This window comes from Homo sapiens, chromosome 15, assembly GCF_000001405.40.
Source record: "Homo sapiens chromosome 15, GRCh38.p14 Primary Assembly".
NCBI lineage: Eukaryota > Metazoa > Chordata > Mammalia > Primates > Hominidae > Homo > Homo sapiens.
Window position 1 is genome coordinate 49627807 of NC_000015.10, and position 15287 is coordinate 49643093.

Here is a 15287-nt window from a genome sequence, read left to right on the forward strand (position 1 = left end):
AGTGGTGACTTGTGAGTGAATGTGAAGGCCTGTGATGTTACTGTACACTACTGTAGTTTTTATAAACACTGTATACTTAGGGTACACTACATTTATGAAAAATATTTTTCTTCAATAATAAATTAGCTTACTGTGACTTTTTTACTTTATAAACTTTTTAAAAAACTTGTGATAACACTTACATTTAAACACAAACACATTGCACAGCTGAACAAAAATATTTCTTTATGCTCTTATTCTGTAACCTTATTCCTATTTTTATTATTTATTTATTTTTACTTTTTAAACTTTTTTTGTTGAAAACCAAGACACAAACACGTTACCCTAGGCTTACACAGTGTCAGGATCATCAGTATCACTGTCTTCTTCCACCTCCACATCTTGTCCCACTGGAAGCTCTTCAGGGGTAATGTATGGAGCTGTCATCTCCTATGATAGCAATGCCTTCTTCTGGAATACCTCCTTAAGGACCTGCCTGAGGCTATTTTACAGTTAACATTTCTTTTTTCTAATTAGGATGAGTGTACTCTAAAACTAAAAAAATTAAGTGTAGTATAGCAAATATATAAACCAGTAACAGATTTATATTATCATTATTAAACATTATTGTATAGCATGCTTTTATATGACTGGCAGTGCAGTAAGTTTGTTTACATCAGCATCATCACAAGCATATAAGTACTGCACTGTGGTGCAATGTTACAATGGTTACACTTCGCTAGGCCATAGGCATTTAGAGCCTAGAATTTAAAAGGCTCTCTTGGGGAAAGTTGATAATCCCATGGGAAAATGCTTAGGTCTCCTTGTCAGTAGCATTTTGATAAACTTGGGCAGAAGGATTTGTGGTAAGTCTCTTTTATAAAACATAAGTGTTCGAGAGCAGATTGATATTCTTTACTTGTTTGAAAACAGAATGTCTCTACTCAGACTGCCCTCTGGTCAACACTATTTTTTTTTTTTAAACACAGTTAAGCTTTAATGTCCATACGAAGCCTCAGAGCAAATGTTTTTGTAGCTTGTAAAAAAGCAAATTTTTTTTCTTTCTTTTTTAATTATACTTTAAGTTCTTGGATACATGTGCAGAACTTGCAGGTTTGTTACATTGATACACATGTGCCCTGGTAGTTTGCTGCACCCATCATCTACATTAGGTATTGCTCCTAATGCTATCCCTCCCCTAGCTCCCCACCCCCAGACGGGCTCCAGTGTGTGATGTTCCCCTCCCTGTGTCCATGTGTTCTCCTTGTTCAACTCCCACTTATGAGTGAGAACATGCGTTGTTTGGTTTTCTGTTCCTGTGTGGTCAACACTATTTTGTTACTCTGTACTCTTGTCATTATTTAAGAAATAATCTTCTTTTAACATGTGTGAACTAGAACACAAACATGGATTTCCATGATTTGATCTGTTTCTGTGCTTTGGTTTTATGATGTGAGAGATCTCACGCTCATGGAAAACTAACAATACCTTGGATTGTGTACAGGTTTTGCATAATTATGCTTGCAGACTTTAGTTCATAAAGCTTTTTCTTTTATCATATAATTAAAAAAATAGGCTAGGCACATGATTTATAAAATTTGTCAATAACACTCCTGTGTTCTTGATATAAATGATACCCTCCAAGATAGCTAGCTGATCAGAAATATTGATAACTTTTGGAATTTTCAGCTTTACTCATCAGCCATATAAGAAGTTCACATTTATGATCTGCTTTCTTTTTCTTTTCTTGTCATGATCTGCTTTTTTTTCTTTTCTTACTTCCTACCTTCCCTGGGCTAAGATAATACTGATGTGGTGCTCAGAGACCCTAGGGAGAGGGAAGGTAGTTTCAACTGAGACCGAGCGTCATGAGGAAACTCTGATGTAGTGTTCAGCCAGAAGTAGACTGATGTAAAATCATTTGTGAACTGCCTACTTAAATGGTAAATTTTCCATAACTAGAAGTTGGTTTGATGATTAGAAGCAATTGGGCCTAACTTATAAATGATCATTGGGCCTAACTTATAAATGATTGCTAGGCCTAAGCGGGGAGGGTAGGAGATACAGCATTTGAAACCCTAATTGAAAACTATTTGAGGAATTCATTTGTAGGCCAAGGTCCTCCAGGGGTGTATTATTTATACTGTTCTGTCCCCAACATAATTGTCCAGGAAGAAAAAAATTTGAAATTGAAATTATTTAGTAGCTGCTCCATTCAAAAATAGTTTTGGAACTAATGACACACACACACACACAACATGGAAGAACCTCAAAATAATTATTCTTAGCTAAAGTCAAATGAAGAGGGTATATTGTATGATTTCATTTATATAAAATTCTAGAAAGTACAAACTATAGTGGCAGTGGATTACTGATTGCCTGAGGAGGGCAATTGTTGATGGTGAGAGGAGAAGGAAGAAGGGCTTGAGAAGACTTTTGATAGTGGCAAATCATTATTTTGACTGTAGCAGTGGATTCAAGAATTTAACATATGTTAAAACTTATTAGATTGTACACTTTAAATATGTACAGTTTAAGACATAAGAAAAATAGTTTTGTCCTCCAGGGTAAAATAGTGTGCCCAGGGTAAATTCCTAGAATCCTACTTATTTAGCATGGGATGGGAACTTGGAGATGGTGGGAACTACCAAATAAAACAAAAGGTCATTTAAAAGCTGAAGTCAAGAACACATCTCCAGAGGGTTTCTTATATATAGTAAGGGAGATATGATTTGGCATTTTTTTCATAATCATGGCTGAATGCAGTACTTGTATAAGCATTACAAAGAGAGCTAAACCAAAAAAGCCAAAGTGAAATAAGAAAAATATAATTTACAAAATCCAAGAGAATATTATTTTTGCATAGAGACATGTTACAGACAACATCTATAACAAATAATGAAACTTCAAGGGAAATACTTAGGCAACAGGGGTCCCCAATCCCCAGACCACAGACCAGTACCGGTCCTAAGGAACCAGGCCGCACACCAAGAGGTGAGCTGCTGGAGAGCAAGCGAAGCTTCCGTCTGTATTTACAGCCGCTCCCCATCACTCGCATTACCACCTGAGCTCTGCCTCCTGTCAGATCAGCGGCAGCATTAGATTCTCATAGGAGCATGAACCCTATTGTGAACTGTGCATACAAGGGACCTAGATTGCATGCTCCTTAGGAGAATCCAATGCCTGAAGATCTGTCACTGTCTCCCATGTCCTAGATGGGACCATCAAGTTGCAGGAAAACCAGCTCAGGGATCCTGCTGATTTTACATTATGGTGAGTTGTATAATTATTTCATTATATATTATAATGTAATAATAATAGAAATAAAGTGCACAATAAGTGTAATGTGCTTGAATCATCCCCAAACCCTCTCCCCAAACCCTGGTCTGTGGAAAAATTGTCTTCCACGAAACCAGTCCTTCTTGGTGCCAGAAAGATTGGGGAGTAGTTAGGCAAGATGATTTTGAAGACAGTTTTGTGATATAAAGATTACACCTCTTAGGTCTATTGTTACTATTTTTTAATTGATAATTATTTAATTTGTGCTATTGAAAATGTGATGCCGAAAATCATGATGTTTCCTGCAAAGGATAACAGTTTTGACTTGAAAGTATGTCTAAGGAACAGAATTTCAACTTGAATTTTAGATCTGAAGCTTTTTGCCCAAACTTACATTTCTTTTTAAAATAGCGTAAGAGGCCAGGTGTGGTGGCTCACTGGTAATCTCAGCACTTTGGGAGGCTGAGGCAGGCAGATCGCTTGAGGTCAGGAGTTCAAGACCAACCTGGCCAACATGGTGAAAACCTGTCTCTACTAAAAAAATACAACAATTAGCTGGGCATGGTGGCAGGTGCCTGTAATGCCAGCTACTTGGGAGGCTGGGGCAGAATTGCTTAACCCAGGAGACGGAGGTTGCAGTGAGCCGAGATCACACCACTGCACTGCAGCCTGGGTGGCAGAGTGAGAGTCCATCTCAAGATAAATAAATAAAAATAAAATAAAATGGCATAAAATAGGCAAACCTAAAGTTTATAGGATTTATTAAAATGTCCTTGGCACACATGGTGAAATGCAAAGAATTGGAGTTAATATAACTTAAGTGAAAATGACATTGGAGCTTTGCTTTAAGAGAAGATTCTCTGTTAAATGAGTTGAAAATAGTTGTCCTAATACATGAATAACAATGCCAAGGAAGAAATTTGGGTTGGTTTTGTAACAATCACCATTCTTAATATTATGGTATATCTTTTAAACCATATGCATATTTATAGGAGTTTATTGTGAGCTTCCTATTTAGCTTTAAAGACCCTTTTTATTAACATAAAAATTAAAATGTTTATATATTTTTTTATTTGTGCTTTTTTTACCTTTAGCTTCCATTGAAGATTGACATCATTAAACATCCAAATGAAACAGATGGCAAAAGTACTGCTATACATGCAAAACTCTTAGCACCTGAATTTGTAAACATTTACACGTATCCGTGTATTCCAGAATATGAAGAAAAGGACCATGAAGTAGGCAACTTAGTTTTTATAACTCTTCACATTGGATATAAAAATGAATTTTAACCTCCATTGCCTTTCTGAACTTACTCAAACATAATTTAATATTTTTCTTAGTAAAGTATTATGCTCAGGTAATGTTAGACAATATACAGTTTATTTCATTGATATCTTCAAAGATCAGATGTTTCTAGACTGCTATGCGTTTTTGAGTCTTTCTGCATTTTATAGCTCTTCTGCCTTATTTCTTCAGGTTTTTACTCCTTGCCAATACTATTGTGCCTGCTTTTACCTTTTCTCCTCTCCTTCTCCTGTTTGTGCTACATATAGATGATCTAATTTGATGCAAACTGGGAAACCAGATTACAAATATTGTTGGAATTTCTCTAAAAGAAGAAAGACTGAGTTAGGATATTCAGGAATCCTCCTAAATTAAGAGCTTTAGTGCATAGCCTTTATAACATTTCTTTTGGCTGCTCAGAGGCCTTCCTTGCTCATTTTTAGATTCTTAATTGGTTTTCACCCAGTTGCAATTGTCACATTGGTGAGAAATTATGGGTCTTCTTGCTGAAAAGTAATTTTACAATGTGTCTCAAAAAATTAAGGCCTTGGGTACTGAAAGAAGCATGTAAAAGCCTTTTGGTCTCTTGGAGGCCATTTGTTGGTGTGGCTAGTATAGAAACAAAATTAAAAATTAGTGCATTCATTTGTTCCAGGAAGAACTTGGTAAATTTTTACTTTCCTATTTATATCTATATCTATATATATATATATATATATGTATTTTTTTGGTTGAGTTTATATAAAAAATTATGTTTGTAAATAATATTTGAGTTTTGGATCTAGGAAAATGTTTCTTTCTCTGGTCAGCTAGACTCCATTTATGTTGATTAAATAGAATGTAGTGCTATGTTCTGTAAGGAGATGTGATACGCTTATAATTTAAGAAAATTCAGAAGCCCTGGACTTTGCTAACTGGATATAGGGGGAAATATAGACATGTATTATGAATATTTAAAAACTTTTACAACTTTGAAATGTATAAAATTCAAGGTTTTTGCTTTTTAAGAGTCGTGCTCTGTTGCTCAGGTTGGAATGCATTGGCATGATCACAGCTTGCTGCAGCCTTAAATTTCTGGGCCCAAGCAATCCCCATACCTCAGGCTCCCGAGTAGCTGAGGCCATGGGTGTGCGCCACTACTTCCAGCTAATATTTTTATTCTTTGTAGAGACAGGTCTCACTATGTTGCCCAGACTGGTCTCGAACTCCTAGGGCTCAAGTGATCCTCTCACCTTGGCCTCCCAAAGTGCCGGGATTACAGGTATGAGCCACTGTGCCCGGCCAAGATTTTTTGTTTCATAATTTTATTTTATTGTGATTTTGTTTTTATCTTTTTATTTTAAAAATTTGTGTGCTCATTGAAGAAAATTTGGGAAATAGAGAAACATATGGGGATAAAATTCCCTTGATTCTCCAACATTTATTCATTTAACAAATATTTACTTGGTGCCTGCTTTGTGCCAGGAGCTGTTCAGACATTGGAAGCTCTAACAATATAAATCTCAGTAAAAATGTGCGGAAAGAAAAGTGGTATCATATTTATGTAATTTTTCCTGGAAGGTTAGATTTTTTCATTTTAATTTTTCACTGTAATAAATATACTTAGATATTGTAAGTGTCTGTGTTTAGGATTATTTTATTACATTCACATAATGAGATCGTTGAACCAAAGGGTATGAATATTTTAAGACTCTTGATTTAAATGGTCAAATTGCTTCCATGAAGAGTTATGCTATTTAATCCTGCTCTCAGACCACCATTTCCTCACCAGCATTCACTGTATCATTTGTTTTATCTTTGGCTTATGATATAGATGAAAATGGCATTTAATCATTGAACAGTTTTCAGTGGTTCTTTTACGAAGTATCATGTACTTTGCTTTTTATCTTATGAAAAATTATATAATTTAGTCTTTTTATTTCAAGTATGACTAACTTGGCATCTATCAGTCAGTGAATAACTTATTTTGAAATAATAGTTTTAATTATTATATTATGATTATAAATTACTAGGGGAGAGCCAAAAACTTTACCATACATATTAAAGAACCATATACAATAGAACCAACCTAATGCTTATTTCTCAGATATTCAACATATCTTTCTTAAAATTTTAAGTCAATCAAAATTTATATATTTTGAAGATCATAGTAGCACACTGCTAACCCAATTTTCTTTGTTTTAGGTTGCACTCATTTTTCCTGGACCTCAGTCTATCTCAATAAAAGATATTTCTTTTCATCTGCAAAAAAGGATTCAAAATAATGTTAGAGGCAAAAATGATGACCCTGACAAGCCATCTTTTAAACGCAAAAGAACTGAAGAACAAGAGTTCTGTGATTTGAATGACAGCAAGTGCAAAGGCACAACACTGAAAAAAATTATATTTATAGATAGCACCTGGAACCAAACAAACAAAATATTCACTGATGAGCGACTTCAAGGTAAAAAAAAAATGTTTTTTTGGACTGCTCCTCCCTCAGACTTATTTTGAAAAAACTTCAAACTTACAGATAATTTGAAAGAGGAGTTACACTGAATACCTATACATTTTGCCATATTTACTTTATTTCTCTCTTTTTATTATATATGTGAGTGTGTATTTATATATTATATATTTTTTGGTTGATCAATTGAAAGTAAGTTTCAGGCTTTGTAACACTTCACCCTTAAATATTAAGTGTACATTTTCCTTTTTTTTCTTGAGACAGTCCCACTCTGTTGCCCAGGCTGGAGTGCAATGGCACAATCTTGGCTCACTGCAACCTCCTCCTCCTGGGTTCAAGTGATCCTCCCACCTCAGCCTCCCAGGTAGCTGGGATTACAGGCGCCCACCACCACACCTGCCTAAATTTTGTATTATTAGTAGAGACGGGGATTCATCATGTTGGCCAGGCTGGTCTCAAACTCCTGACCTCAGGTGATCCTCCTGCCTTGGCCTCCCAAAGTGCTGGGATTATAGGCATGAGCTACCACGTCCAGCCTAAGTGTACATTTTCTAAGAATAAGAATATTCTCCTATATTAATAAAGAATGACATCTCTTTTATAAACACCCTAATGGTGAATACATTTACTAAGAAGTTAGATCTTCTATTTTGTTTTTTTTGTTTTTTGCCTTACAGGTTTTTTGTTGTTCTTGTTGTTGTTTGTTTGTTTGTTTTTGAGAGGGAGTCTTGCTCTGTTACCCAGGCTAGCAGTGGTGCAATCTCAGCTCACTGCAACCTCTGCCTCCTGGGGTCAGGCGATTCTCCTGCCTCAGCCTCGCTAGTAGCTGGGATTACAGGCACACCATCACCACGCCTGGCTAATTTTTTTGTATTTTCATAGAGACGGGTTTCACCATATTGGCCAGGCTGGTCTCTAACTCCTGACCTCAGGTGATCTGCCTGCCCTGGCCTCCCAAAGTGCTGGGATTACAGGTGTGAGCCACCACGCGCAGCCTTCCTTACAGTTTTTAAAAATAACTTTTTTGAGTAAGAATTAACATGTAGTAAACTACATGTTTCCAGAGTATTAAAGTTTTCTCATATGTGTACAGCTGTGAGACCATCACTACAAGTTAGGAAATGAACCTGTCCATCCCCTGCCAAAGTTTCTGCCTGACCTTTTATAATCTTTCTCATCCAGCTTTCCCCACAGCACACTTCCACACTCTCCAACCCCATCTCTAATCAATGATCTATATCTAATCATTATAGATTAGATGCATTTTCTGGGATATTATAGAAATTGAATCATATAGTATGTACTCTTTTCCTTTTTTTGGTTTGGCTTTCTCACACAAAATAAATAACTTGACACTCATTTTTGTTGTAGCATGTATCAATAGGTCATACATTTATTGCCAAGTAGTATTTCGTTGTATGGATATGCTACAATTAGTGTTATCTATTTATCTGTTGATGGACATTTACACTGGTTGTTTCCCATTTTCTACTATTTCAAATAAAGTTGCTATGACACTTGTGTAAAAAAAAAAAAAAAGGATGTTCTCCTGTATAATAAATACAGTACCATTATCACTCCTAAGAAAATTAATGAAAATTACATAATATCATCTAATATACTGTCCATATTCAAATTTCCCTAACTGACCCAAAAATACCTTTTGTAGCTTCCCCCCATATAGCATTTAAACTCGTCACGGTTTATTTCATTATTATGTATCTTTAGTCTCTTTTAATCTAGAGTAGTCCTGTTTTTATTTTTCATGACTTAGACTTTTGTGAAGAGGACAGGTCAATTGTCTGAATGTTTCATTGTGATTAGTTTCAGTCTAAATATGTTGCCTAGGATACTTACAGGTAAGGATAAATCCAGGGTTGTCTATGTCTAGTTTATATCTATCGTTTGGGTATAATTATTAATAACATGTAATTTTACTCTCAGAAATGAACCTTTTAGCTGATAAATTGTATGGCTAACCAATTCATAGGTGAATTCATACTTTATTGTTGCATCAAATTAGGAGGCACATAATGCAAATTGTCTATCATTTGTGATAACTTTCATTACTTGATTAAAGTGGTGATTACCCCATCTCTCCATTATAAAGGTTTATTTTTTCTCTTTGTAAGTAGTGGTAATCTATGGGGTGATGTTTTCAGACTGTGGACTGTTTCCCAAAAACTTTTCACCAGTGATTTTAGTATTCATTGATGATCCCTGCATAAATTGAATAATTACATTGAGAATTGAAAAATAGTGAAATTTTAATTACATGATTTCTTCCTACATTAGTTAGCCAGTATTCTTATGTAAAGAAGAGCTTTTCCTTTTTCTCCTGTTCTTTATTTCTTTCTCTTTCCACCCCTTTTTGAGATCATTATGATCTTATGGATTTTCTTTTTAATTCAATATGCTATAATAAATTATAGTGTAGCATCAATAAAGATGCTAATCTTTTTGATAATAATCTTTTTGATGCTCTAGTTCTCTCAAATTTTGCCAGTGGAAACCCTTCAAGTACTTCATGGCATGGCCTCATTTGTCTTTTTGGTGCAACAGGCAAGTTCACTTGTACTTTTTTTCTGTCTCAGACCTGGAATCAATTGTTTTTCTAAGAAGCTATAGTTTCTTTTAATAGGAAATGGTATTAGAAACTAAGATCTGGTAAATTCATTACTTTTGGGATGTCATTGCTTCAATGGATAGAGCCAGGAAAAATACATAGTTATGTATCATGAGTTCACACAGATAGTTCCAATTCATATTTAACATTATAAGGATTTTTATTTCTTTTAGAGTGAAAAACTTGGTTCCTAATAATAGTGATTTAAAACAGTTACTTTACTTGTCCATGTATGATTAGAAGGCAAGAAAGCTATTCAGTTGATATTAGGCAGTTGCTAAAACAGTTTGTTTCAAACTGGGAGAGCTTCTCTCAGGCTAGTGTTAAAAATGTGCATTATCTAGAAAAGAACATTTTGACACTTTTTGGAGTCTGATTGGTGTTCATTAATTCCAAGCTGAAGTGAGTGACAACACTAGATTTAACGAGCTTAATTTATATAGTTTATGCATCTGAGATCTTCATACACATTAGTAAAGTTGCTTTGAAAGTCTAATTGTGTGCGCTTTGTGTCTTATGTGTGTGGGAGAGAGTGAAGGGCAGGTACTACGGAGCATAAGATCTTTAAGAAATTTTGTTGCCGATGTTTGATAGAAAGACAAACGCCTAAGCCCTAAGGCTGTGCTCTTTGAAAGAGAGAAAGGGAACACTGCCTGCCACATTCCTGTGGATGTTTACAGCAGCAGGTTACTTGCCAGTTTGAAGATTTTTCTGAGCCATTTTTCTTTATAGTTACCTTATATGGTAATTGAAAAGATAAATGAAAAAACATAAGTAAAAACCCTTGACAAAACTATAAAAGGAATTATTGTGGTATTATTCAAAATCTCTTTTCAGAGTGTCCAAATTTGGCTTGCCTAAAATCAGATTTGTACAAAAGATTTTTGTTATTCCTTCCCAATTCACATGGAAAGTATCATATATTTCAGTTCTGTGCTAGATCAAAAATTTTTAAAGGGGCTTCTTAATCTCTTTAAAATCATAAAAGGAACAGATTTCTAAAGGCAAGTTTTCTGCATGACCTACTTCAACCCCTGTCCTTTGTGGCTCTTCATTGCACCACAGGAAACAATTAGGGCTCTATACATATCTATAACCTCTGTATATGTGAAATACTGATTTCTGAATAAACCGAGTTACTTCCATAAGAAACAATCCATGGTTTTTATAAATTGTTGGCTTTAGGCTTTAAAACTTCGTCATTTCGTGAGATTAATCTGAACAAACTGAGTCTATACCTCAATTAAACCCTCAGGTGTATTGGAAATTATGTTTCCATTATTTTACTATGAATGCTGAGGTTAAGAATCCCTTTAACAATGTAAAACCTTACTGTTTTGCCAAATTTTTACAGAAAAATAGCTCTGTGTGTTCTACCAGTGTCAAAATAAAACACTTGAAGGTAGAGTGCCTAATTTAATTATAAAAGGTAAACCTAAACCTACAGGTGAAGAATGATATAACATTCTTAAAGATTTATCATAGGAAGCCTTGGCAGAATGTAGGGGGAGACATTGTTTCTTTTTGTTGGATGTGAGTCCAAATTATATTTAAATGGCATTATACTGTAATTGGTTATAAAAATTAGCCAGCTCTTTCCCTTCAGTTTGACTGTATTGATACAACTTTTAAAGTGATAACTTTATTCATATTATAAGCTTTGCCTAAACTACACTCCCTGTCAGTGAGTGCTGTGTCCTATACTACCTTATTCAATCCTCACATCAAATATATGAGGTAAAGGATGTCACCCTCACTTTGCAATTGAAGAAACTGAGGCAGCACTTTTGGAAGGAAAAGCCATTTGTAATTATCTACTTTAAGTTTCTACTGCTAAAATATTTTACTAGTTTTGAGCCAGGTGTAGTGGCTCATTCCTGTAATCCCAGCACTTTGGGAGATGAAGGTGGGAGTATCACTTGAACACAGGAGTTCTAGACTAGCCTAGGCAACATAGCAAGGCCTACATCTCAACAAAAAATAAAGTAATTAGCAAGGCGTGGTAGTGTGCACCTGTAGTCTTAGGTACTTGGGAGACTGAGGCAGGAGGATTGCTTGAGCCCAGGAGTTCAAGGATGCGGTGAGCTATGCTCATGCCACTGAACTCCAGCCTGGACAACAGAGCAAAATCCCACCTCAAGAAAAAATGTTTACGATTTTTACTATAATTTTATTATAAAGTTACTGATTGTTAGAAATACTAGGGTATAAAAAATATTTTGCATTCAAGAAACTGAAATATTTAATGTTGTCTAGAATGCATACATATATGAGAATGGTAAAAGAGACTGGAGAAATTCAAATTATGAATGTCATATTTTATTCAGCATGCTTGGGCATTTGTTCTTTTATCCATAGTGCTGTGGCATCATTAAAAAATTTTTAAGCTTGTCATTGACATGATTAGATTGTATTTTAAGTCTAATGGAAAGAATTGGGCTGGGACATGACTTCAAGCTCCAATTCCTTCACTAAATAAGCAAAGAGGTTTTGTTTGTTTGTTTTTAACTGTTTTATATTTTTAAATAAATTGTGATACATATGAAATAATATATACACACACACACGTATATGTAACATTAAGTTATAAAGCATAGTGATATAATGAACAATTAAGAACTCAAGCACCAGTATTTCTAACTTCCATTTACCTATGTTTTCCCTTGTGCCATTCCCCTTCTTCCCCTGACAGTTATTTTCCTGAATTATGCTTTTTTAGATTATAGTGTTATATATATGTTTTCATAAACTATATATGATTTAGTTTTGCTTTATTTTGAGCTGTGTGTTGTTTTCTTGGGACTTGCTTTCTAAAGTCACATTTTGTTTCTAGGGTTTATATATATTGTCATATCACTGTAGCTATAGTTTATTCTATTTCACTGCTGAATAATATCTGTGATATACTACAGTTTATCTGGTTTCCTGCTAATGAAACACTTTGGTTATTTCTAGTTTTTCCTATTGCAAATAATGCTACTACACACATTCTTGTGCAAGTACAAGCTCCTCTAGGAAACATCCCTAGGAGTCACATTGCTGAGTTGTTGAGTATGAGAATATTCACCTTTACAGGATAATGCCAAATTGTTTTTCAAAGTGGACATACAAAGGAATATTTCCATCATTAATGTATAAGCGCTCCATTGATCCATAATCTCTCCTACCTTGGTATTATCAAATGTCTGATTTTTGCCAACCTAGTATTTTAAAATGGTGTCTCATTGTCATCTTCATTTACTTTTCTCTAATTACTAATAGGATTGATAATTACATTGTTTATTTGGCCATATACGTGTCCTATTCTGTGAAATATCTATGCCCATTTTTCTGTGTTTTATCTTAATTGATTTGTAGAAATTCTTTGTATATTCTAGAATATAGATAATGTTGCAAAATATCTTCTTGCAGTTTGTGGTTCATCTTTTCAATTTCTTTTCTTTTGAGGAAAAAAAACTTTTAGTGTGGAATTTATCACTATGTTTGTGTCTTGTTTGAATCCTTCTCTTCTGCAAGATACTATGTGGCTAATGATTTGCCTGAGGTTTTTTGTATTTTCTGTGTAAGTAATGCCAATTGCATTTCTTTCCAGTTCTTATCCTTCTAATTAATTTATTGTTCTTTATTACTATGTTAAATAAGAAAGACCTCTAATGCAATATTTAATTGAAGCCAGTTATTTAATTGTAGGGGTCATCCTTCTCACGTTTCAATCTGATAATCTATGTCTTTTAAATATTAAGTTTAGTTTATTTACAATTGCTGTGAGTATTGAAATAATTGGATCTACTTTCTACCATCTTAATTTTTATTTCTATTTGTCCTTTTTTATAATTTTTGTTTCTTTTTTTGATTGAGGTTTTTTCTTATTCTATTTTTATTCCTATTTCAATTATTTTAGAGAATTGCCCATATCACTTAAAAAGTTCAAAGCCAAACAATGTTTAACCTCTCCTTTTTTACATTGTATGGACTTTGTATGCTGAAGCTTCATTCAGCCTCCTCCTGGTTCACATTGTTATTGTTAATATCATTATTTTTGTCTGTCGTTTATTGTCAGTCTACAAATTAGATATTATTATTGTTTTTGTTTTATACAGGCAACATTTATCTGGATTTGCATAGATGTTTACCATTTTCTTTACTCAGTGTTTTATCAAATACATCCTTTAGGAATTCCTTTAATTTGGTCTCTTGTTGGCGTATGTTCAGTTTTCATTTGTCTATTAAATGTTTATCACTTTTTTCGTGATAGGTTGTTCTGCTGGGTTCACAATTTTAGGTTGCCAGTTCTGTTTTTTTGTTTGTTTGTTTGTTTGACACTTGGAAGATATTATTCTAGTGTCTTCAATATTCTGTCTTTGGTCTTTGGTCATTCTAATTACCTTTTCTTTGTATATGATCTGTCCCTTCTCCATGGCTTCTTTTAAAATCTTCTCTTTATCTTTGGTGTTTTTCAGTTAAATATGTAATAGAACTAGGCACTGATTTGTTTATATTTATCCTGCTCGAGACACATGATGTTTCATGTATCTGTGGCTTTTTATAGTTTAAAATAATTTCTGGAAAAGTCATAGTCATTATCTCTTTAACCGCTCCCTCTCTTCCATTCTCTTTGTTCTCTCTTCCTCGAACTCCTGTTAGTCATTTGATCCTCCATATCTCTGAATATTTTTGTATTTCTTTTATTATTTATTTCTTGTCTCTGCTACATTTTACATTGAGTAAAAGTGGGATGTGACAGTGGGAAATCATTAGTGACTTAGAAATTCCAGTTGGTCATTGGGCCAATTTTGATGCTACCTTCTCTCTTTTATTTCTCACTTTAAAATAAAATTTGCAAAAACAAAAAATTAAATATAGTATGAGTCCAGTTACTGGCCTAAGGAGCTAAAAGCATTCTGGGTTTGTATGAAGACAGCTGAGTTATAACAAATGAGAGTACTGTTGTGTGACTGCATTAATTATTCCCTTTTTAAATGTACAAGAGCAAGGCATTCTACCTGACTGTGTTATTGAGCTCTGCAGCATACATGTGACAGAGCTAAAACAAACAAGCAAACAAAAGAAACCACAGCTTTAGGATACTCTGTTCATGAATATAGCCTGAAAATGATAATCAAGAAGTAAACTTTTACCAGTATTAAGGAACATTAAGCTGCCTATCTCTCAGTGAATTTCAGAATGATATTTTAAAAGTTAGTTTAGGCTGGGCACTGTAGCTCATGCCTATAATCCCAGCACTTTGAGAGGCAGAGGCCAAGGCAGGAGGATCACTTGAGCCCCGGATTTTGAGACCAGCCTGGGCAACATAGCAAGACACTGTCTCTAAAAAAAAATAAAAATAAAAAATCTTAGCTGGATATGGTGGTGTGCACATGTAGTCCCAGCTATTTGGGAGGCTGAGATGGGAGGATCACTGAGTCCAGAGTTTGAGGTAACTGTGAGCTATGATCACACTGCTGCAGTCTAGCCTGGGTGACAGAGTGAGACCTCATCTCTAAATAAACAAAAAAGTCAGTTTGTCAAGGAAATGAAACCCTTCTGAAAATTGGTGAATGCAGTCCTGTCAGAGATTTAGATTTTTGAAGATGCTGATACATAGAAGATTGGAAGACATGAATATCTTAAATGTTAACTACTTTTAATTCATTGGTCTAAGACTCAGTG

At 34.5% G+C, this 15287-nt stretch overlaps 1 protein-coding gene across 10 annotated transcripts in view; it reads left to right on the forward strand.

Moving 5' to 3' along the window:
- Window positions 1-15287, forward strand: part of DTWD1 (DTW motif tRNA-uridine aminocarboxypropyltransferase 1) — a 35185-nt gene that overhangs the window by 6759 nt on the left and 13139 nt on the right. For 6 of the 10 annotated variants that reach the window (XM_017022426.2, XM_047432881.1, NM_020234.6 and 3 more), the window contains 2 exons: window positions 4353-4496; window positions 6730-6988. In XM_017022426.2, the coding sequence (XP_016877915.1) occupies window positions 4353-4496; window positions 6730-6988 (403 nt within the window). Of the gene's footprint in view, window positions 1-4352; window positions 4497-6729; window positions 6989-9478; window positions 13018-15287 lie in introns of those variants that run through there. The other 4 variants (XM_047432880.1, XM_047432879.1, XM_017022424.2 and 1 more) reach the window with 1 other exon arrangement.